This window comes from Homo sapiens, chromosome 3 (assembly GCF_000001405.40).
Source record: "Homo sapiens chromosome 3, GRCh38.p14 Primary Assembly".
Lineage (NCBI taxonomy): Eukaryota > Metazoa > Chordata > Mammalia > Primates > Hominidae > Homo > Homo sapiens.
In genome coordinates this window covers 150741125-150762224 of record NC_000003.12, presented here as the reverse complement: position 1 = coordinate 150762224, position 21100 = coordinate 150741125, and the positions used below count along the sequence as shown (strand labels likewise).

The 21100-nt window shown below is 43.4% G+C and overlaps 1 protein-coding gene and 1 long non-coding RNA gene across 3 annotated transcripts in view, besides 2 other annotated features; one reads left to right on the top strand and one right to left on the bottom strand.

The window, feature by feature from the left end:
• SIAH2-AS1 (SIAH2 and CLRN1 antisense RNA 1) overlaps window positions 1-288 on the bottom strand; it is a 6739-nt gene extending 6451 nt beyond the window's left edge. The window contains exon 1 of one of the 2 annotated variants that reach the window (NR_187305.1): window positions 50-288. This is a non-coding gene — a long non-coding RNA (SIAH2 and CLRN1 antisense RNA 1). The remainder of the gene's footprint in view (window positions 1-49) is intronic. The other variant, NR_187306.1, reaches the window with a different exon arrangement.
• Window positions 1-21100, top strand: part of SIAH2 (siah E3 ubiquitin protein ligase 2) — a 22045-nt gene extending 945 nt beyond the window's left edge. Inside the window, exon 2 of the mRNA NM_005067.7 lies at window positions 19527-21100. Coding sequence (NP_005058.3) covers window positions 19527-20084 — 558 coding nt within the window. The 3' untranslated portion in view covers window positions 20085-21100. The remainder of the gene's footprint in view (window positions 1-19526) is intronic.
• Window positions 1402-1501: an enhancer, noted in NCBI's record as "active region_20698". NCBI's record gives its function as "activates an Ori minimal core promoter by ATAC-STARR-seq in GM12878 lymphoblastoid cells {active_cell/tissue: GM12878}" and the evidence as "EXISTENCE:reporter gene assay evidence [ECO:0000049][PMID:35858748]".
• Window positions 2736-2795: an enhancer, noted in NCBI's record as "active region_20697". NCBI's record gives its function as "activates an Ori minimal core promoter by ATAC-STARR-seq in GM12878 lymphoblastoid cells {active_cell/tissue: GM12878}" and the evidence as "EXISTENCE:reporter gene assay evidence [ECO:0000049][PMID:35858748]".

Genomic DNA, 21100 nt, shown 5'->3' with positions numbered 1-21100 from the left:
ATTAACAGATTAATTGGCATTTGCTGATCGTTAGAACATCGTAGCTCACCCGGCCCAATGCCCGCGTCCTCTGCAGACGTGTATTCGGGTACTCTCGGTAGGGCTGGGCCGCACCAGTAAAACTTGGACCGAGAAACTGACTGTGTGGGGATTGAGGAGGGAGGAAACGGGCGAGCTAAACGCCCCCTTTACCAGCGCTGGGCTCGGCTGAATTGATAATTGGAGTCCTGCACCCCGCGCCTACCGTCTGCGCACCCCTGACACGTGGGAGCTCTCGGGATTGTAGCTAAAAAAAGGGCGCCTACAGCCTGTTTTCCTCTAGCTAGAAGAAAACCCTGCAAGCCACGCCTTTTTCTCTCCTAGCCTTCCAAAGACTGGGAAGGACTGAGGAGTTGTGGCTGCGTTGTTGTACTAAGTGGGGTGAAAACAGTCAATCAAGAAATTAACAAGGGCACTCAAGAGCTGTTGTTACAGTTGTTTAAAGCTCATCACTTCATTTTTTATTTAATGTAAAAAGTTTTCAATGCCCTTGCGAAAAATGCAAGCCACCAAGACAAGAAGTAAAATGAAAGACCAAGATCTCTCCCCTCCTTTCCCACCATTGTTAGGTTTAGTGTGTATCTTTTTAAACTATATATACATACACCCTCGCAGCTAAATATAGAATCATAGATGTCAGTGTATGTCAGGGAGGTTTTTTAATACCCACACATAGATGTAAGTTTTTCTCCAAAAATGGCATCTGCAACTTGCTGTTCTTAAATTCATATTATCACACATATTTCTCTATGCCTGAAACCTAGTCGACTTCATTGTATTTTAAATGGCTGCATAGTATTGCATTGTGTGGTCATATTATAACATTTGTTTACCTGCAGCTATTACGTGGAAACCTTCAGGAGCAGTTTCACAGACATACTTGTCTACGTTATAACCTAGAAGTATACTGTAAAGTCATTTTCTGAAATTAGAAGTGGAGATAATGTCACTAATACTTTCCAGTTTTTTTGTAAAAGTAACTTGCGCTGCCTCTTGGGCCATTTAAGCTGTCTTGCATTTCTCCTTGGTGCTGCTTATTTTATAGGACAAGAGCTCATTTTTAAATTAAAAATAATCCACCAGAGAATTCAGGCTTGGGACTCAGGTCAGTAAAATGAGTGCTTTAATTTGGTCTGCTGCCCTGCTGCAAATCAGGTTTAAAATAGCATATTTAAATAAGAGTTTGAATCGGTGTTTGGACTAGGGTGTTTCAGGCAACCTTAATAAATTGCTGTTAACCCCTCCTCATATAGTGCTTACTAATTCACTCAGCCCAGTTTCTCAAAATTTAGATAAAGTATTTGCATAGTTGTCTTAGGGTTGTGAAAAAGGTGACAACCTAGTGGTTGGAAAAGGTTTGGTGGTAGTTAACATAGAGTGGCTATTTGATGCTTGAGATATATTGCAGGGGTGGGGGATGCCCCATAGGATTTCTGGGGAGCCATTTTCTCACCCCTTTACTTTCCCTTAAACGCGCAGCGGCTAACAAAAGAAATGGCTTTTAGGTGAGTTTTAGTTCACAAATGAGCATTTGATATTAGTCAGTAATCCATAATTTGTTTTTAAAATGTAACCATAATAGAATTGTGTTGTTCCCAAGAGAAAGGGAAGGAAACAGTTATGCTATATGGAGCATGAAGTTTCACTTTCAGGATCTAGAACTCTGGTTCCTATGAAAGCATACGTTCTTTCCTAACGTGAAACAGGCTACTGAAATCAACCTTGAAGAGTAGTTCTGGGAATCAGGGGTTCTCAGCCTTTCTGTACATGTCAGTGGTTTTCTGAGTCTCTATTCTATAAGAATGCAGTGGGGTAAAGCTATTACTTTGCAAGCTGAAATTTAAAAGGGCCAATTATTCCCCTGCAGACCAAGAACCAAGCTTAGGATGTGATCTTGGGGATGCTTTTGTGTGTGCATGTGTGTGAGTTGTATAAAGCTGGGGTGTGTGTCCCTCACCTTTGGTTGATCAATAATCCAAACTATTGGCAGGGCAGCTCAGCCAGTTAGTCTGGATAAACCAAACTTGAATGTATACATAGGCCCAGCGACCAACCAAGATGTGTTAGTTGTAGAGGATGAGAAACAACAGAGAGCCGTAAGGCCTGTATCAAACTTAAAACAAGGCAGATCTGTTTACCTAGCCCTTTGGCCTACAGTTTGAGGCTCCTAGAAATTATGGGACTGCCTTTTTACTGTCCCCACCTGCTCTCAGAATCTCTCATGGGCTGGCTCATGTGAAAAAAACCAACGTTGAATAAAGTACCAGAGCCCACATCTCAAGAGCTGCCACTGTTTGCCTGAAAGACCACCTCCCAGGGCCTTGATTTCCTCATCTATACAAATGAGAGATGAATCTGCTTGACTTCTAAGGACCTGTAGCTTCTAGCATTCTATGAAAAGAAGGGAGGCTATCTGGAATGTTATTGGATGCCCTCTATCTGCCAGTTACTTTGCAGGGGTCAGCTTTTACTAGTTTGCCTTTTTTTTTTTTCAGATGAGGAAACTCATGCCTACAGAGTGGTTAAATGTGAAGTGACTTGTCAAATCACACAGCTAGTAAGAGGACCAGTCCAAGCACCTGCATCTCAAAGGCACAGATGTTTTGTCCTACACCTTACTACGTAGGGATTTCGAATCTGAGTGTATACTCAAGATTCTGAATCATAACTCAAGGTTGACACCAGTAACAAAACCGTCTGGTTGGATGAGTTCACCAGATGGGCCTCTTATGGGACCATCCCAAAATGACAACATACATACTCACTATGAAATTCATTGGCAGGAATTTTGTAGGGCATGTAGGGTAGGAAGATGGGAGGGTGGGGGAAACCTACAAACCTAGTATTTTGTGGGGTATCATCACAGCTCTGGACTGCTTCAGTTGGCAAAAAAATGGATGTATTGCCAAATAACTATCCCACTTAGGTTTAGGGTAATTAATTAAAGGCTAGAGTGTTGCCAGCACCTTTGATATGGGGAACCGGATGCATTATTAGCTCAGATCTTTGGGTGTGGTGACTCATGCCTGTAATCCCAGCACTTTGGGAGGCAGAGGTGAGCAGATCACCTGAGGTCAGGAGTTCGAGACCAGCCTGGACAACATAGTGAAACCCTGTCTCTACTAAAAATACAAAAATTAGGGCCAGGCGCAGTGGCTCACGTCTGTAATCCCAGCACTTTGGGAGGCTGAGGTGGGTGGATCACCTGAGGTCAGGAGTTTGAGACCAGCCTGACCAACATGGAGAAACCCCGTTTCTACTAAAAATACAAAAAAGTTAGCTGGGCATGGTGGCACATGCCTGTAATATCAGCTACTCAGGAGACTGAGGCAGGAGAATTGCTTGAACCCGGGAGGCAGAGGTTGCAGTGAGCCAAGATCACGTCATTGCATTCCAGCCTGGGCAACAAGAGTGAAACTCAGTCTCATTAAAAAAAAAAAAAAAAAAAATAGCCAGGTGTGGTGGCAGGCACCTGTAATCCCAGCTACTCAGGAGGCTGCGGCAGGAGAATCGCTTGAACCCAGGAGGTGGAGGTTGCAGTGAGCTGAGATTGTGCCACTGCACTCCAGCCTGGGTGACAGAGCAAGACTCTGTGTCAAAAAAAAAAAAAAAAAAATGGAATGTCTAATAGTGTATGGCTTTCTTCCGCTTGGGGTATTTTTTAATCCATTCTGTGGCTTGTTCCATGCCTGAGAACTTTTGACATCCTGTGCCCAGACTTAAACTCACCCCTTCAGTGTGTGGGTTTAGGGGGAGAAGTGAAGGTTGACACATTCATATCAACAACATAGTCTACTTTACCATCCAACGATGTATTTTGATATCAGCCAAGTATTTCTCTCTACAACTGTGAGCAATGCTAATCCACTCCAGCCTTCTTACACTGTAATGATACCTTTTCTTTGTCCTCTCTGAAAGTTTCTAGTAGCATATCTCCAAATAATTATTGAATTTGAAAGCCTCAGCTGGACAAGTCTTCTCTGTGGTTGAATTGTGACAATGTCTGTGTTCCTTAAAAAAATAAAAAATAACATAAAACCAAGTAAGGTTAGACAAAACAGTTGAAAGTTTAAAATCCCTTGGCCTCATCTAGTTCAGTGGAGACAAACTTTCTAAATGGGAGGAGGGCCATGTAATGAGAGGAGAGGAGAGGAGAGAAGTATTTGATGCACTCATGGCCTCAGGGTCAGGGAGACCTGGAGGAGCAGTGGAGATGGTGGAGAGCCAGAGAACAGGTGCCACCTCCCAAGAGGCAGCCTTTACTCACCTCTGGCTGATTGGTGGGGTTGGGGATGTGGGTACAGGCATATCAGACCTTTAGATTTTTTTCAAGAAAAGCCAGAAATCTGGATCTTTTTTTTTTCCTTTAAGAGATGTCATCTCACTATGTTGCCCAGGCTGGTCTTGATACTCCTGAGCTCAAGCAATCCTCCTATCTCGGCCCCCCAAAGTGCTGGGATTACAAGTGTGAGCCACCGTGCCCAGCCTGGATTTTTTTTTTATGTTAAATATCTCGATTTTTTTTCTAGCATTGGCTGACTTCACATGTATAACCACCACTTGCAGACAAAGCGAACCACCACGTCTCCAGGCCAAATTCCAGCTGCCAGCATGCAGCCTCTGATCTGATTCTCTTGTAGAAGCATTCCTTGAGCCTGGAAGTTCTCATTTAACTCTTGCCATACATGAACTTTGGAACTCTGTTAGGCCCTAACTGTTGGTGATTTTGTAGCTTGTTTTCTTTTCATCTTCATTTTGCCAAGAGAATATTATTTTCTGGCCATCAGGAACCCTCAGATGATGGCCTTGTGACTAGATGTTTGACTCTATACAGGTCAGTTTCTTTTTTGCACCTGAGGGTCTTTAAGAGAAGGGATTGGACTAAATGATTATCCCAAGGTTCTTTCTTACCCTAAAATTTTAAAATATAGTAAGCGGTCCCAGTGAAAAGAACGTGAGCCAGGAAACAGAAGACCTGGGTTCTCGTCCTGGCTTTGTGTGACTTTGGTCCAGTCACATACTTCCCTGACCCTGTTTGTTCATCCATTAGAAAGAACGGAGATGACGCCTAGTTAGTGGGTGCTTGGAAATCAGATTAGAAGTGCTGTTGAGGGCTTTTGCTTCACCATATGGAATGGAATATGGGGGGTATTGGGGTGGTTGGAAGGTTGCAATGGGGGATCACCTGGAAGCAGGAAGCACAAGCCGATTAGCCAAAAATACTTTCAAAAATTTCTTCCTAACCCCCAGAATTCTCCTAACACAAAACTATTTACTTTGGAAGTTGTCCCTGAAGTCCTCACTACTGCCTGACATGGGCAAGGTTGGCCCATAAAAGCACAGAGTGAACTGGCAAGGACCAGAGTCCACATACATTAACTCCGGGGCTCAAGATTTTAAAGAACAAAATTGATAATACACCTTTCGTTGTAGTTTACTTTTTGTATAAAGCAGAAGCATTAGAATACTATATGGCAGTACTTAAGCTTAATGGTAATTCCACACATAACTGGCCAAAGATTTTTCACAGGTCACCATGACCTGGAACTAGAGTAAATAGTTATCAGTGAAAGTTGAGCCTTAGTATAACCAGAACAGAGGCTTACCAAAAGTTACAGCAGGTCTGGCCTATAAAATACCAGCCCAAGATTGGGATAGACTCTCCCGTTCTGTGGTAGAGCTGTTTTTTGAAGCCCCATTAAAAAGTACTGTATACATGAATATAGTGAGGCTTCACTGTAAAATGTCTTAAGCATCAGATTTTGCTTCTGACAAAATTTGTGAGACATGGCCGTTCTTATTCAAACCCATAAGGTCCTCACTCCTTGAAAGGGGCACGTAGCAGATACACATTTGCTAAACTGTGTACCAGTGCCAGCATTTGGAGCCACTGTGTATTGCTGGCGAGTTTTTCAGGACATGATCATACACAGGGTATTTGAATGTGGTTCCACGCTGGACATCCTGAAAAGGAAAATAAGAAAGTCTTCCTGATCAAATGTATCTTTATTTTAAGATTCGGGGTATCCTTTTAAGGCTGATGAAGGATACTGAAATGCTCTACAGAATTTCATCAGCTTTGCCCTAGATTGCAAAACTGTTGTTTTCCTCATTTCCAGTTTGGTAAAGATTTTATGTAATGATTTTTAGACTGTGTAGCATCTATGGAATAAAAGGGTTTTCCTGTTCTCAGTTTTTGCCCACAGGTGATATACAGATGGATGAAAAATATTCCTGGTCAGGTGTGGTGGCTCATGCCTGTAATCCCAGCATTTTGGGAGGCTGAGGAGGGCAGATCATGAGGTCAGGAGTTCAAGACCAGCCTGACCACCATGGTGAAACCCCGTCTCTACTAAAAATACAAAATTTGTGCCAGGCACAGTGGCTCACACCTGTAATCCCAACACTTGGGAGGCCGAGGCGGGCAGATCACCTGAGATTGGGAGTTCGAGACCAGCCTGACCAACATGGAGTAACCCTGTCTCTACTAAAAATAAAAAATTAGCCAGGCGTGGTGGCGCATGCCTGTAATCCCAGCTACTTGGGAGGCTGAGAGGCAGGAGAATCACTTGAACCCAGGAGGCGGAGGTTGTGGTGAGCTGAGATCGCACCATTGCACTCCAGCCTGGGCAACAAGAGTGAAACTCCGTCTCAAAAAATAAAAAAAATAAATAAATAAATACAAAAATTAGCTGGGCATGGTGGCTCGTGTCTATACTCCCAGCTACTCAGAGGGCTGAGGTGGGAGGATCGCTTGAGCCCAGGAGGTCCAGGCTGCAGTGAGCTGAGATCTTGCCAATACCCTCCAGCCTGGGTGACAGAGTGAGACCCTGTCTCAAAAAAAAAAAAAAAAAAAAAAAAAAGGGAAGAAAAGAAAAAGAAAAATATTCTTTTGCTAATGCGCCGGCCTATGCACTGCTTTAAAATTTTGAATCAGCAAAGATAGTATCTTTGGGTCCCTTTTACCCCCAGGATCCCTCTAACTCTGGCAGTTTTGAGGGCAGCCCCTCATCTGGCCTGGTCCAAATCCCAACTCCAGCCCCACTGTGACTGGCTGGTGACCTCTCCAAGCCTCAAGGTTGCCTTGAGGACCAAACACACTAATAATTCATGCAAAGTGCCTGACACAGCCCAGGCACTAAATAAATGTGCTCAGTTAGAAGCTAACAGAAACTAAATGGCCGATGTCTGAGGTCAGGTTCATGCATAAACTTGAAAAAAAGGAATCATTCCTATTTTTTCCCATAGATTTTCCCAATGAGCTTCCCTTCCCTACTCTTAATCATATAGCATTTTCATAGAGCTGTGTAAGTTGGCCCTTGTATTGGTTTTTCAGTGATGAGGATTTTTTTTCATTTCTTTAAATTTTTTGAGAGGGAAAACTGGTTAGATTAAGCAGCATTTTAAATTATATGTATTATATTTTGTGTATTTTTACATATTATGTTTTCTAAAGTTATGATTATTTTTAAATGTAGAACATATAGAAAATAGTATAAAATTAAAATCTCCTATAATCTCCCTCACCTAAAGATAACCACTATACCATTTTGCATACATCCTTGCAAACTTATTTCTACATCGGTGGAGTTTTTCTTTAAAAACAAAAACAAAAACAAAACAAGTGAGATGGTGATATGGTTTGGGTCTATGTCCCCATCAAGTCTCATGTTCAATTGTAATCCCCAATGTTGGAGGTGGGGCCTGGGGCAGGTGGTTGGATCTTGGGGGTGGATTTCTCATGAATGGCTTAGCACTATCCTCTTGGTGCTGTTCTCATGATAGTGAGTCTTATGAGATCTGGTTATTTAAGAAGTGTGAAGCACCTCTCCCACCCTTGCTCCTGCTCTTGCCATGTGAGATGCCTCACTCCCCCTTTGCCTTCCACCATGATTGGAAGCTTTCTGAGGCCTCCCTAGAAGCAGAAGCCACTATGCTTCCTGTACAGCTTGCAGAACCGTGAGCCAATTAAACCTCTTTTCTTTATAACTTACTCAGTCTCAAGTATTTCTTTGTAGCAATTTGAGAATAGAACAATACAGGTGAGGAATCCTATTGTCTACACTGTTTCATAATCTGCTTCTTTATCTAACACATTCTTTATCTAACACATCGTGACTGCTTTTCTACAGTGATAAATATTCTTTAGGATCATATTTAATGGCCACATATTGCAGTTCTATAACAGTACCAGAGTTATTTAATCAGGCTCCTATTTGTGGTCATTTAAATTCTCTTTTCTTACTGAGATTTTTTTTTTAAAGCACTGCTATAACCAAATCTTTGTACACAAAAATATAGTTATTTCCTAAAGTTAAATTCCTTGAAGTTGGATGGTAGAGCCCAAGGGTATATGCAGAAATCTCAGTGTTTTTTTTTTGTTTTTTGTTTCGAGACAGGGTCTAGTTCTGTCATCCAAGCTGGAGTGCAGTGGCATAATCACAGCTCACTGCAGCCTCAACCTCCTGGGCTCAGGGGATCCTCCCACCTTAGCCTCTTGAGTGGCTGGGATTACAGGCACACACCATCAGGCTTGGCTAATGTTTGTATTTTTTGTAGGAACAGGGTTTCACCATGTTGCCCAGGCTGGTCTTGAACACCTGAGCTCAAGTGATTCGGCTTCAGCTTCCTGAAGTGGCAGGATTACAGGCATGAGCCGCCACACCCGGCCTGAGAAATTGAAGCTTTTTGATAGTAGAACCAAATTGTTTTCTCCCTTAGAATGGTTTACAGTTGAATGTCCATTTCTTCCCAGCAGCACCGACATTGGGTGTTACCTTTTGGTTTTCTTAATGCCACAGCCTGCTTTTTCTCCCTGGTGCAGTGTCAGGCCAGAGTTGGCCGCTGCTGACCCCACCAACTTTACATCATACTCACTCTTGCCTTGGAATCTCCTGCAGTTCCAGGCCCTCTCCTTCCCACAACCCATCTGCCTAGCCAGTTCTTGCCTCTGCTCACCCCTCTCGTCTTTCTGAAACTCTCCTAAGTCTACTGGTGGAGACAGATGTGCCAATAGGGCAGAGCCCGTCTGAAGTACTAGGAGCCGAAAGGAGTCCGAAGACCTTGCTGCCATGGTGGCACCAGCTGCATGTTGAAGGTGCGCAGCGGTTTGCCTGTGAAGAAAGAAGGGATGGAAGCTCATAAGGAGGCTGTGTGGGAGGCCAGCAAAGTTGCTTGTGAAGGATGTTGCTTGCCTTGCTTATAGATGGCCCGAGCTAGGCACCCATGCTCGTGCAGTTTTTAAGTTTGGGGGCAGAAACTCCAGTCTGGACTAATTACATATACAGTGTCTTTTTCACTACAACCTCTTGCTTTTTCTGTGCCCACTCTACCCTTCTGAGGAACAGTGATCCCTCTTCCCATTCTAGACCCAAGGAGTGGCTTTTGCAGGGATGGCAGTGGTACCAGCAGGTCCTCTTATTAGGGTTGCCAGATAAATACAGAGTGCCCAGTTAAATTTGAATTTCAGATAAACAACAAATAACTTGCGGGGCCGGAGAAGAATAATAAGTATATTCCAAACATTGCCTGAGAGACATCTTGTATTTTTATTTGATAATTTTTTTTTTTTAATACTGAGATGGAGTCTCGCTCTGTCGCCCAGGCTGGAGTGCAGTGGTGCGATCTTGGCTCACTGCAACCTCTGCCGCCCGGGTTCAAGTGATTCTCATGCCTCAGCCTCCCGATTAGCTGGCATTTCAGGCTCATGCCATCACGCCCGGATAATTTTTGTATTTTCAGTAAAGACATGACTTCGCCATGTTGGCCAGACTGTTCTCGAACTCCTGACCTCAGGTGATCCGCCTGCCTCGGCCTCCCAAAATGCTGGGATTACAGGCGTGAGCCACTGCACCTGGCCTATTTAATAATTTTACAACCCTACCACTTAAGTCTTTTGGTGAATTCAGTTGCTTTCGTTGAGAAATAAAGACTGCTGAGGGGAATAGAGCTGTTTGAAGAACTGTCAGGGCAGTTATGTGGTTGTGCAGGTGGGAACCTGGCATGGAAGAGTGAGGGCATACTGAAAGGGTGGGTGTGGTACTGGTCACATGGCATAGAGCCTTTAACTCAGCTTTTAAGTGTTTTGTTTGCTTGAACATGCACTTTGAAAGGACCTCACAAAACTGGTTCTCCATGACAATGTGTGGTTACCTGCTAACTCTGGCTATGGACAGATGAGAAACATACATGGTCAAAAGTCAACCTTTGTTTAAAGTTTCTAAGATTAAAAATAAACCCCTGCCAGCCCTGGGAGTCTCTGTAAGGCTAAACACACCCTCCCTTGATAGCAGGGTGTTCTCAGATTTCTGCAGTAATAATTATGCCAGGCCAGTTGTGGTGGCTCATGCCTATAATCCCAACACTTCGAGAGGCTGACATGGGAGGATCACGTGAGGCTAGGAGTTTGAGATCAGCCTGGGCAACACAGCAGGACCCTGTCTCTTTTTAAAAAGAAAGAAAAGAAATTTATGCCAAAGTCTTCCCAAGACACCTCTTAGTAAGAAAGCTAAAAGGTGGTTTGTTGACTTTCTCTTAGGCAAAAAGGACAGATTTTTGGGCCCAAGATTTTAATTAGAATTGTCTTCCCCAGAAGAAATTTAGTAAAGTGAACAGTAAGTGTTTCCTTACTCTCACCACTGTTTGGTGACACTGTTTGACTTGACAGTTCTAGTGCTGAGTAATAGTGTCTTCTCCTATCACTGTCTGTAAAACTGTTACTGCACTATTGGTTGATGATATCTCTCTCTTTTTTTTTTCTTAAGAGACAGAGTCTCTCTCTGTCACCCAGGCTGGAGTTCAGTGGCGTAATCTCGGCTCACTGTAACCTCCACCTCCCGGGTTCAAGCAATTCTCCTGCCTCAGCCTCCTGACTACAGGCACATGCTGCCACGCCCGGCTAATTTCTTTTGTATTGTAGTAGAGATGGGGTTTCACCATGTTGCCCAGGCTGGTCTCGAACTCCTGAGCTCAGGGAATCCGCCTGCCTCAGCCTGCCAAAGTGCTAGGATTACAGGCATGAGCCACCGTGTCAGGCCTGATTATCTCTTCACACTGCCTCACAGCAGAGTTCAGGAATTTACCATTCAAGTTAAGGGAAAATACGCTAAGGTTCTTAGAGGAAGGATGCTAGACAGATGCAGGTTGAATATTATAAATAAGTCACAAGAACAGATTTCACTTTCTCCTGTTTCCCAAGCCTTAACATGATTAACTTGAAGAGTCTACAACTCTTCCACTGTTAATAATAGTCAAGGAGGAAGTCATAGACAGTTTTATAGACCCACTCATAGGTGATTTGGTAGGCTCCAGGTCACACAGGACACTGGCTACTTGAGTTCCAATCACAGCTACTCTACCATTGTTGTAAACATATTTTAAGCAAGAGGAACATACAGCCATCAAAAGGACAACTGTGCTCATGTTTTCCAGTCTAGGTAAGATCTCAGAAAGGCTATAAACCTTCTCACTGCCAGGCATGGTGGCTCACATCTTTAATCCCAGCATTTTAGGAGACTGAGGTGAGAGGATTGCTTGACGCCGGGAATTCATGACTACCCTGGCTAACAAAGTGAGACCCCGTCATTTCAATAAAAAAAAAAATTTTTAAATCTTCTCACTCCAAATAGTTATGTAAATAAAATATGTGAAACACTTTCATCAAAAATGACAAAACCATAGTGCCTGAAATCTAAAACAAACATTTCTTCTTACATGATCTCAAAATCTATTGATTTTTTTTTAAATTCTAAGTCCCACAGTAAAACTTCTAATTAAAGTAAAATTAACATGGTGGAAAACATTCCATCTTCGGCAGATACATCTAACATTTATTCATTCATCAACAAATATTAGGTGGGCAAGAAGCAGGCAATGAATCAGTGAACCAATAAGCAAAATTAACAAACCTGTAAATTAACTAGAAAATAACCTGTGATCATTCAGTGGTCTTTGTGGGGCAGGTAAACATTTTAAATCACAAAACAGCTAGCTTGAATTGCTAGAAGTCCTTTTAAAAGTTTGACTGATGGTTAAAATGTAACTTTTACCATGATGTGGATCTATACTAGGCTTAGCTGCCAACTCCCATTTGCACAAGTCCTAATTATCTGCTAATCATACATAATAAATTATACTGTCAGAAATTCATCCTTCCAGTTGAGCTCCTATATCTCTTCTTCCCACTTCCAGGTTCACCTCCCAAAAGAAAAAGGGGGCTTAAGTAAATTTTATTCCTGGAGCTCATCTTTCAAATGGGTCTAGAACAAAGTGGAGTTTACCTTGGACCACTGAGAGTGGTGAATAATGAAACTACATGCCAAGGCCACAGACTTGTCAGGCACCCGCAAACCTTTAGAAGGATCAGAGGACAATGGAGAATGCATTGTCTTCTATAGGGGCCAAAGAAGTGTTGGTTATTATGACAATTCATTTCTCATTGCAAAATTGTATTGGTTCACTACAGTCTCAAATAGCCTCTAGTAAAAGAAAAACTACCAACTTCAGTTGCATTTACATGTAGTTATGTAGTTAAAGGTATATATTCTTTTAAAACAAACACTATTATGATAAAACTTAATTCATTCAACCAATTCTGCATAAACCATTTCTGTCCCATAAAGGATAAATATGCTAACTCGGTCCCTGGATTCTTTAGTATGTTTTTATGTATGTATTTTTGAGACAGGGTGTCTGTCAGTCTGTTGCCCAGGCTGGAGGGCGGTGGTACAATCACGGCTCACTGAGCCTTGACCTCCCAGGCTCAAGCAATCCTCTCACCTTTGCCCTCCTAGTAGCCGGGACTACACGTGTGCACCACAAGGCCTGGCTATTTTTTTTTTTTAACTTTTTATAGAGACAGGGGTCTCCCTATGTTGCCCAGGCTAGTCTTGAACTCCTGGGCTCAAGCAGTCCCTTCATCTCGGCCTCCCAGAGTGCTTGGATTACAGGCTTGAGCCACCTTGCCTGACCATGTTTTTATTTTGATATGATTTCATACTTACACAGCAGTTGCAATAATAGCATTTAAAAATTCCCTTATAGCCTTTATCCAGATTCACCAGTTATTTCCTTTTTGCTCCAGTTGCTTTATCATTTGTGCTGTCTTTGCTCGTACTTTTTTTTAACCATTTGAATGTAAATTGCAGGCATCTTGTCCCTTTACCCCTAAATACCTCATTGTGTTTCATCTAAAATCATTTTCTTATATAATCATAGCACAGTTATCAAAATCAGGAAATTTGACACACAGCAGATCCTATTATCTAATCCACAGTGCACATTCAAATTACAGCTTTTGCCCCAGTAATGAATGTCCTTTATAGGAATTTTGGTTTCTCATTCTAGAGTTATGCATTGCACTTAGCCATCAGTATGCATTCTGTGATCATTACAACTTACTTAGGTTGAAAGAAAGTGCCATTTGCTTTTTTTAACTCCAAGACAAGGTCATTTCTTAGATTTAATTCAAAAGTTTATGAGCATCAACAACAAAATATCGATTGTGGTTTGTTTTTCTTAAGACATTCTCATTTGAGGTGCTAGCAGGTATTTTGCTATAAATTTCAGCTGTTTCCTAGGACGTAAGCCGGTCTAGGCAGTGTGGTTACCTCACAGTTCCCTAAAGAGCCATGCTTCTGCTGTGGAGCACATGCTGCTCCCATTGAGTAGATTGTTGATTGCTGGGTTCAGTAAATCATTCTTGAATTGCATGGAATCAGATTTAATTAAATAGGTTAAGTGACTTGTTCTAAACCAGTGACAGCATCCATGACCTTCACTAGCACCATGGCTAAGAAGGCTTATTTTGCTTGCATACTCATTTCATAAGTAAACATAATGTGACTGTGTTTATTAGGTAAATAACAGGTGTCTTGTGTTTGACTGTGTGTTGCTGTATCTTGTTGTGTGTATTTGTGTATGAAGGGGTTTCTATGCTGAAAAGGGAAAAACCCTGCCTAAATTCCAACTTAAATACAACCTTCAAACCCCACACCCAGGAAAAGAATGGGAACTATTAGCTGCTTTCTGCAAAGATCTAAGAATGAGGGTCCGGATTACACATCACATCTCAATGGCAGAACACATCTGCACAAGACTTTTGAGTCACTGCAACATGAAAAGTTTGTAAAGAGAAGTTAGAAATGGGATTTCAACATCTCTTTGTTTCTCATTCTGCTGGGACATCATCTACCTCCCAATTTTTTTTTTTTTTTTTTTTTTTGAGATGGCGTTTCGCTCCTGTTGCCCAGACTGGAGTGCAGTGGCACAATCATGGCTCACTGCAACCTCTGCCTCCCAGGTTCAAGTGATTCTCCTGCCTTAGCCTCCCGGGTAGCTGGGATTACAGGTGCCCACCACCACAACCGGCTAATTTTTTTTTGTTTTTGTTTTTGTTTTTTGTATTTTTAGTAGAGATGGGGTTTCACCATGTTGGCCAGGCTGGTCTCGAACTCCTGACCTCAGGTGATCCACCCGACTCAACCTCCCAAAGTTCTGGGATTACAGAAGTGAGCCATCGCGCCCGGTCCTACCTCCCTATTTTCTTCTTTAGTTTTCAGAGTGTGTGTGTGTGTGTGTTCTTTAGAGATGTTTACTTAAAACTAATTCCCCCTGGGGAAATGAGCAGATATTTCCCTAAGGAGAAATCTCATTTATAGCTGTGGGCTTGTCCCAGGAGACACAGGCAGCCCTCTGCGAACCAGCCCAGGTGCCTTCTCTCAGTAACAAAAGGGTACAGCTAAGAACCAGACATCTAAAGGAAAGCCCTCCCCAGCTTAAACGCACAAGTCCTTGACCTTTTCACATTTTGTGGGGCAAGCCCTAGCTGGAGTATGAAGTGAAACCTCAGGACTTTCTTGCCAGATCCCAGAGAAGGCTGGGAGGGCCTAATGGCTGGTTACTGATTTGAGATGCTGCTGCGTTATTCCTCAGGGAGTGGCACTTTCAGGGCTGTTTTTCTCTCCTTGCAAACCAAAGAAGTTAATATTAGAACCTGCTTCCAAAAGCAGTGTATCTGTGGACTCTGAGTTTTATGTGTGTTGGGTTGGTGGCCAGGGGTGAAGGCAGATGTAAATTATTTGTTTATTTTTCCCAAAATATTGATTCTTTGACTCCTGAGCTGTTGTGTGCAGTGAAAGAACCCTGGCGGGGCAGCCTGGGAATGCAGGGCTCTGCTCCTTGTGAAGCCACAAATGACCACAGGGCCCTGACCAGTCAGCCACACTCTGGGAGCATCCAGCTTCTAGTGAATAAAACGGGTAGAATGGACTCCCTGGTCTAACTCCGTGCTTTGCTAGCGATCATGTTCTGATTGTGTGGCAAGGCTGGCATTCCTGAGTTGCCCTGGTAGTGCTCATTGGGTGGGCCAGTGACCTACTGGACCTGCTTGCTGGCATGGGCCGCTCCTTGCAACTGTGATAGTGGCTGCTTGGAAGCCAGGTTTTGTCATTCTTGAGAATTGGAATGAGTAGTTCTTATCAGAGTCAGTGGTTCTCAACTGGGGCCATTTTGCCCCCTACGTGACATTTGGCCATGCCTGGAGAGCTGGAGACATTTCTGGTTGTCACAACTGAGGGGCAGGGGGTGGTTGCTATTGGCATCTAATGAATAGAGACCACGGATGCTGCTAAACATCCTGCGGTACACAGCACAGCCCCCACAACAACGAATTATCAGGTCCAAAATGTCAATAGCACCACTGTCGAGAAACTCAAAATAAACTCCATTGTCAGGAAGGTCCCTCACCTGCCTTCTCCTTTAGGTTGTTTGTTTGTTTGTTTGTTTGTTTTTTGAGACAGAGTCTCAGTCTGTTGCCCAGGCTGCAATGCAGTGGCACGATCTCAGCTCACTGCAACCTCCTCCTCCTGGGTTCAAGTTATTCTCCTGTCTCAGCCTTCCTAGTAGCTGGGATTACAGGTGCATGCCACCACACCCAGCTAATTTTTTATATTTTTTGGTAGTGACAGGGTTTCACCATATTGGCCAGGCTGGTCTTGAACTCCTGACCTCAAGTGATCCACCTGCCGCAGCCTACCCAAGTGCTGAGATTACAGGTGTGAGCAGCGCGCCTGGCCTCCTTGAGGTTTTATCCCCACTGTTTCCTCCACTCACCCTGTGCTAGAACCAGATGGAACAACTCCATCCACAATCCACTTGTCTACAATAAAGCTTTCCTTACCATGTCCTCCTCACCCTGTCCCACCTTGAAATCACCTGTTGCCCTCCTGGTCTTCCTTTACATAGTTGTTAAATTTATTATATGGTCTTTCTCAACTGGAAACACCACAAGGGCAGGATCCACAGCTGATTCCTTCTGTGTGCTCTAGGATAGAGGTTCTCAGCCCTGGAAACTCTTAGAAACCCTTGGAGCTCTTCAAGAAAACACAAGCCCAGGCTGGGCACAGTGGCTCAAGCCTGCAATCCCAGCACTTTGGGAGGCCGTGGCGGGTGGATCACGAGGTCAGGAGATCGAGACCATCCTGGCTAACACGGTGAGACCCCGTCTCTACTAAAAATACAAAAAATTAGCTGGGTGTGGTGGCAGGCACCTGTAGTCCCAGCTACTTGGGAGGCTGAGGCAGGAGAATGGCATGAACCCGGGAGGCGGAGCTTGCAGTGAACCGAGATCGCGCCACTGCACTCCAGCTTGGGTGACAGAGCAAGACTCCATCTCAAAAAAAAAAAAGAAAAGAAAACACAAGCCCAAGGCCAGGGGCCAGTGAGACTTGGCTTTGCTGCTCAGAAGCACCTAGACAGTTTTACATACAGTCTTGGGGAATTCACAAACTACTAAAGTCCTCCCTCGGATCCCTGGATGAGAGCCCCTGATGAAAGTGACAAAACACCCATGGTGCTCTGACATGCCATTCCAGAACAATGCCAAAACTGCTTGAAGTATGAAATGTGGGGTGTGTGTGTGTGTGTGTGTGTGTGTGTGTGTGTGTGTAGGGGGTTAAAATTTAGACTTTAGTCATCATAAAAGTGGCACCAGTTGTTATGAAGACATGAACCTTACCCATGATGGAAAGAGAAGGGATAGATTGCCATGAAAGTTCTGCTTGTTCAGTAAAAGCAGAGTAAGCACCTAAGGCTTTAAAACTATTTATTTAAGTTAATAGAGGATGTAGCAAGATCCTTATGAAAAAACATGAGATCGTTGTCCACACAAATGCAAAGTAATGCCTTTTCTATTTGTGCAGTTTGGGGAGGTTCCCTGTTCTGTATATTTGGGTGGAAAGAAGTGTTGAATATGTGATTTGTAAGGCAAATCAAATAATTCAGAGTATAAATACTCCTACTTGAGTGGGGAAAGTTATAAAATGATTGCCAAGTGATAAATATTTGCTGTAAATGTTGAGTTCGTCATGAATGAGGAGTGGTTTGGGACTTTGGGCAGAGGTGCAGCTGGTACCTTTCTGGGTGCCATTGGCCAAAGTTCATCTCATTCCTGGGCAGCTATGGGGAAAAGTTCGTCTTGAAACATCTTCAGATATTGAGAGCTTGTTTCGAGACTCTGCCAGGCTCTGGGCTATTTCTTGCTATTTTTATTGTGTGTGTGTGTTTTTTTAAACTGGACAGAAATGTCTCACCCATCACTCACAGAAGAACATGAGGAGGCTCTGTATTCCTAGCCACACCCTAGATTTAAAACACAGTTAATAGGGATTTGTTTTTCAGGCCTTATAAAGTAAGGAACACAAAGTATGAATACACATGGATAAATAAATTTGTTTCTCCTGAGTGAGTTTTTTTACAGCCAGGCTTTAGAAATTAGTTCAGAGTTTTAAAAGATGAACAAACAATTCCTATGGGCAAATAAGTAACTGAAATATTTCTGCCAATTTCTGTTAAATATTATAATCCGCTTAGGTATGGGGAAGTGGGGGTTGGAGGATGAGCTACATTTCTTTCTTTAAGCCACTCTCCTTTCCGATTAGGGGAGACTAATCCCCCTGAGAGTGGAGGCTGTCATCCTTGCTTCGGAATCCTCTGAGTGACTGTAACTTAGCGTCTTGTATGGAGAAGTCACATAGTGCATACCATCTGCTTGTTGCTAGTGATAAATTCATCTATGAAGGTTAGAATTTGACCGACTTCAAGTTTAAAAGGGGGATTATTCTATAAAGCAGGGTAGAGAGAAGCAAAAACAGCAGTGGTGCTTTTTTTTTTTTTTAGCAACTGGACATAGCATCTTAGAAAAATGACCTGGCCTTGCCCTTATTTGGTGCCTTCATGTCTCAGTGGAGCAGGGGAATCCAAGTGTAGTTAGCCAGACAGTTCCCCTGCCATTCTGTGCTCCAGGGGTCTAAGGCTGACACCTAGTTTCACCTGAAAAGGTGATTCAGGTTTCTTAATTCTTTACAGAACAGCTTAGTACTCAGGGCAGGTGTCTACTTGTGGGCTGATCTCCATCTGGTATCTAGGAATTAACACTGTCATCCTTGTGAGAGTCTGGAGTAGAAGTTCAGTTCCTCTTGGTGTGGTCTTTTGCCACGGCAGGTATGATTTATCCATTAGGAATGTCATCCCAAGTGCAAGGGAGAAAATGATTTTGTTCTCCTACCCTATTAAGGCAGTGTCTGAGGGGCAGACTGATCATGTCAGCAAACTTGTCTAGTTCTGCTTCCTCCCGGGCCTGTTGTGAGGACCTGACATACCTGACCATGAAATGATGTGCTCTTGAATCTGAGGAAGTGTTGGGGGTCAGCAAGCTTTGAGAGGAGGGTTAGGCCCTTCTCATGTTAACCTCTACTGGCCAGAACCAGACTGACCAGTAGTCTTCTGAGTTAGTTAAGTAGCTCTTGGATGTGATTTCCTTCCACCCAAAAAATATGGGCAAAGCCCCCCAGAGGGAAGGTCAAAAGGATGCAGTGGGGTAATATTTCTAGCTGTATGAAGGGGTCTCCAGGCCTCCGCTGCCCTAGCCTGGTGATGCCAGCAGCAAAGAGCAAGGAACCAAAGGGCAGCCTTCCCCACGGCCTGCCTGCCAGTCACCAGTTTGAGCCAGAAAGCAGTGGAGGGGGACGACAGAATTATACTGTTGTTAATATTGTCTATATGTGAAAACTAATCTTGGGATAATATAATATTCCTTGCCCAACCCCATCCCCACCACCCAAGCAATTGAATTCTTTAAAAAACAGCTTCACAGAAAATATGGGGAAGACCAGCTTTTATAGGGCTTGCTCAACAATTTTGAGATGTGCACAGTAAGAGAACTTTAGTTCTGATCCCTTTGACAGCGGAACAGGGGGCATGGAAAACAGCGTATTTCTGGTTCAGGAAATACCCTTCATTTTATGCATGACAGCATTGATGATGAATAGAGACGGAGACTTTTAGTCTTGAATATTTCACTTGCTTTGAGCAAAAGTAGTTAAGAACACAGTTTAAGCCCAGGAAAATGGAGTAGTTAAGTACTCATAGAGGGTTGAAGCAATAGAAGTTTTGAGAAGGCCCAATGGCTCAATGCATTTCTTTCTTTGCAGTATGCCACCACGGGCTGTTCCCTGACCCTGCACCATACGGAGAAACCAGAACATGAAGACATATGTGAATACCGTCCCTACTCCTGCCCATGTCCTGGTGCTTCCTGCAAGTGGCAGGGGTCCCTGGAAGCTGTGATGTCCCATCTCATGCACGCCCACAAGAGCATTACCACCCTTCAGGGAGAAGACATCGTCTTTCTAGCTACAGACATTAACTTGCCAGGGGCTGTCGACTGGGTGATGATGCAGTCATGTTTTGGCCATCACTTCATGCTGGTGCTGGAGAAACAAGAGAAGTACGAAGGCCACCAGCAGTTTTTTGCCATCGTCCTGCTCATTGGCACCCGCAAGCAAGCCGAGAACTTTGCCTACAGACTGGAGTTGAATGGGAACCGGCGGAGATTGACCTGGGAGGCCACGCCCCGTTCGATTCATGACGGTGTGGCTGCGGCCATCATGAACAGCGACTGCCTTGTTTTCGACACAGCCATAGCACATCTTTTTGCAGATAATGGGAACCTTGGAATCAATGTTACTATTTCTACATGTTGTCCATGATGTGACTTTCGTAAACCTTCAAAATTATTTGGGCATAGTGCTCTATGTTTAATAAAGGTTTTTATAGATGTTTTATTCCATATGTCTTCACAAGTCAGGACCCACAATTACCCGTGTTTTGTTTGAACAGCAGTGTCCCATCTGGCTTCGACCCAACAAAGTTCATTAACCTGGGATGAATGGGGTTGGCCTGTTGGTGATTTGGATGCTGTTCTGTGATCTAAAACAACTCTTATTGAATTGTATTTACTCCCTAAACAACACTTGACAGGCTGTTGCACAGGGCTTCTATAGATCAGTGTGTTAGGAATGGGAGGCCCCTTCCTGCCTGCCTTCCCATATTGGTCCCTTGACATTGACAAAAGCACAGTGACTGTCAGCAGATTCCTTTACTTTTGTTTGTGGGAGGTAGGAATTGTTTTAATGCATTTTAAACAGTGTTTCTGAAATTGGATGGCTGGCTAATAGACACTGAATCACCCGGAGTGCTTATCTTAAAATTGCAGATTTAGGGAGCCTGCCAATTTAACAGTCTCATCAGGTGATTCTTTTCAACAGTAATGTTTGAGAATTACTGGGTTAAATTGTGGGAAAGGGTCCAGATTTTAAAGGTGCTTTAAGGTTGCCCTCTGCCGATACTGTTTGTCTTTCTACTGTTTCATCCCCTAACTTCCCCCAACCCTCAAATTAAAACTAGAACTATAGATCCACATGAACGCACGCCTGAGATTTGGCCACTCACCTATGTTTTGGGTGGATTGCCTAGGAAAGCAAGTCATATGGCCATTGATAGTTCTCATGTAATTAGTTTTGCTCACCACTAGTACAGATGACCCGTTTACACGTGGCTTCCCTCGGAAGCCCTCCTCAACAGTAGCTGGTGTGAAAGACTAAATCAGTAGAGTTGGAAAAGCTTTATAACCGGTGTGTCATATGCTTGCTATTTAAAGCTGTGTGTTGGTTTTGTTTTTCTGCCACATTCACTAGTTTTTTAATAAATATTTTCCAAAAATGGA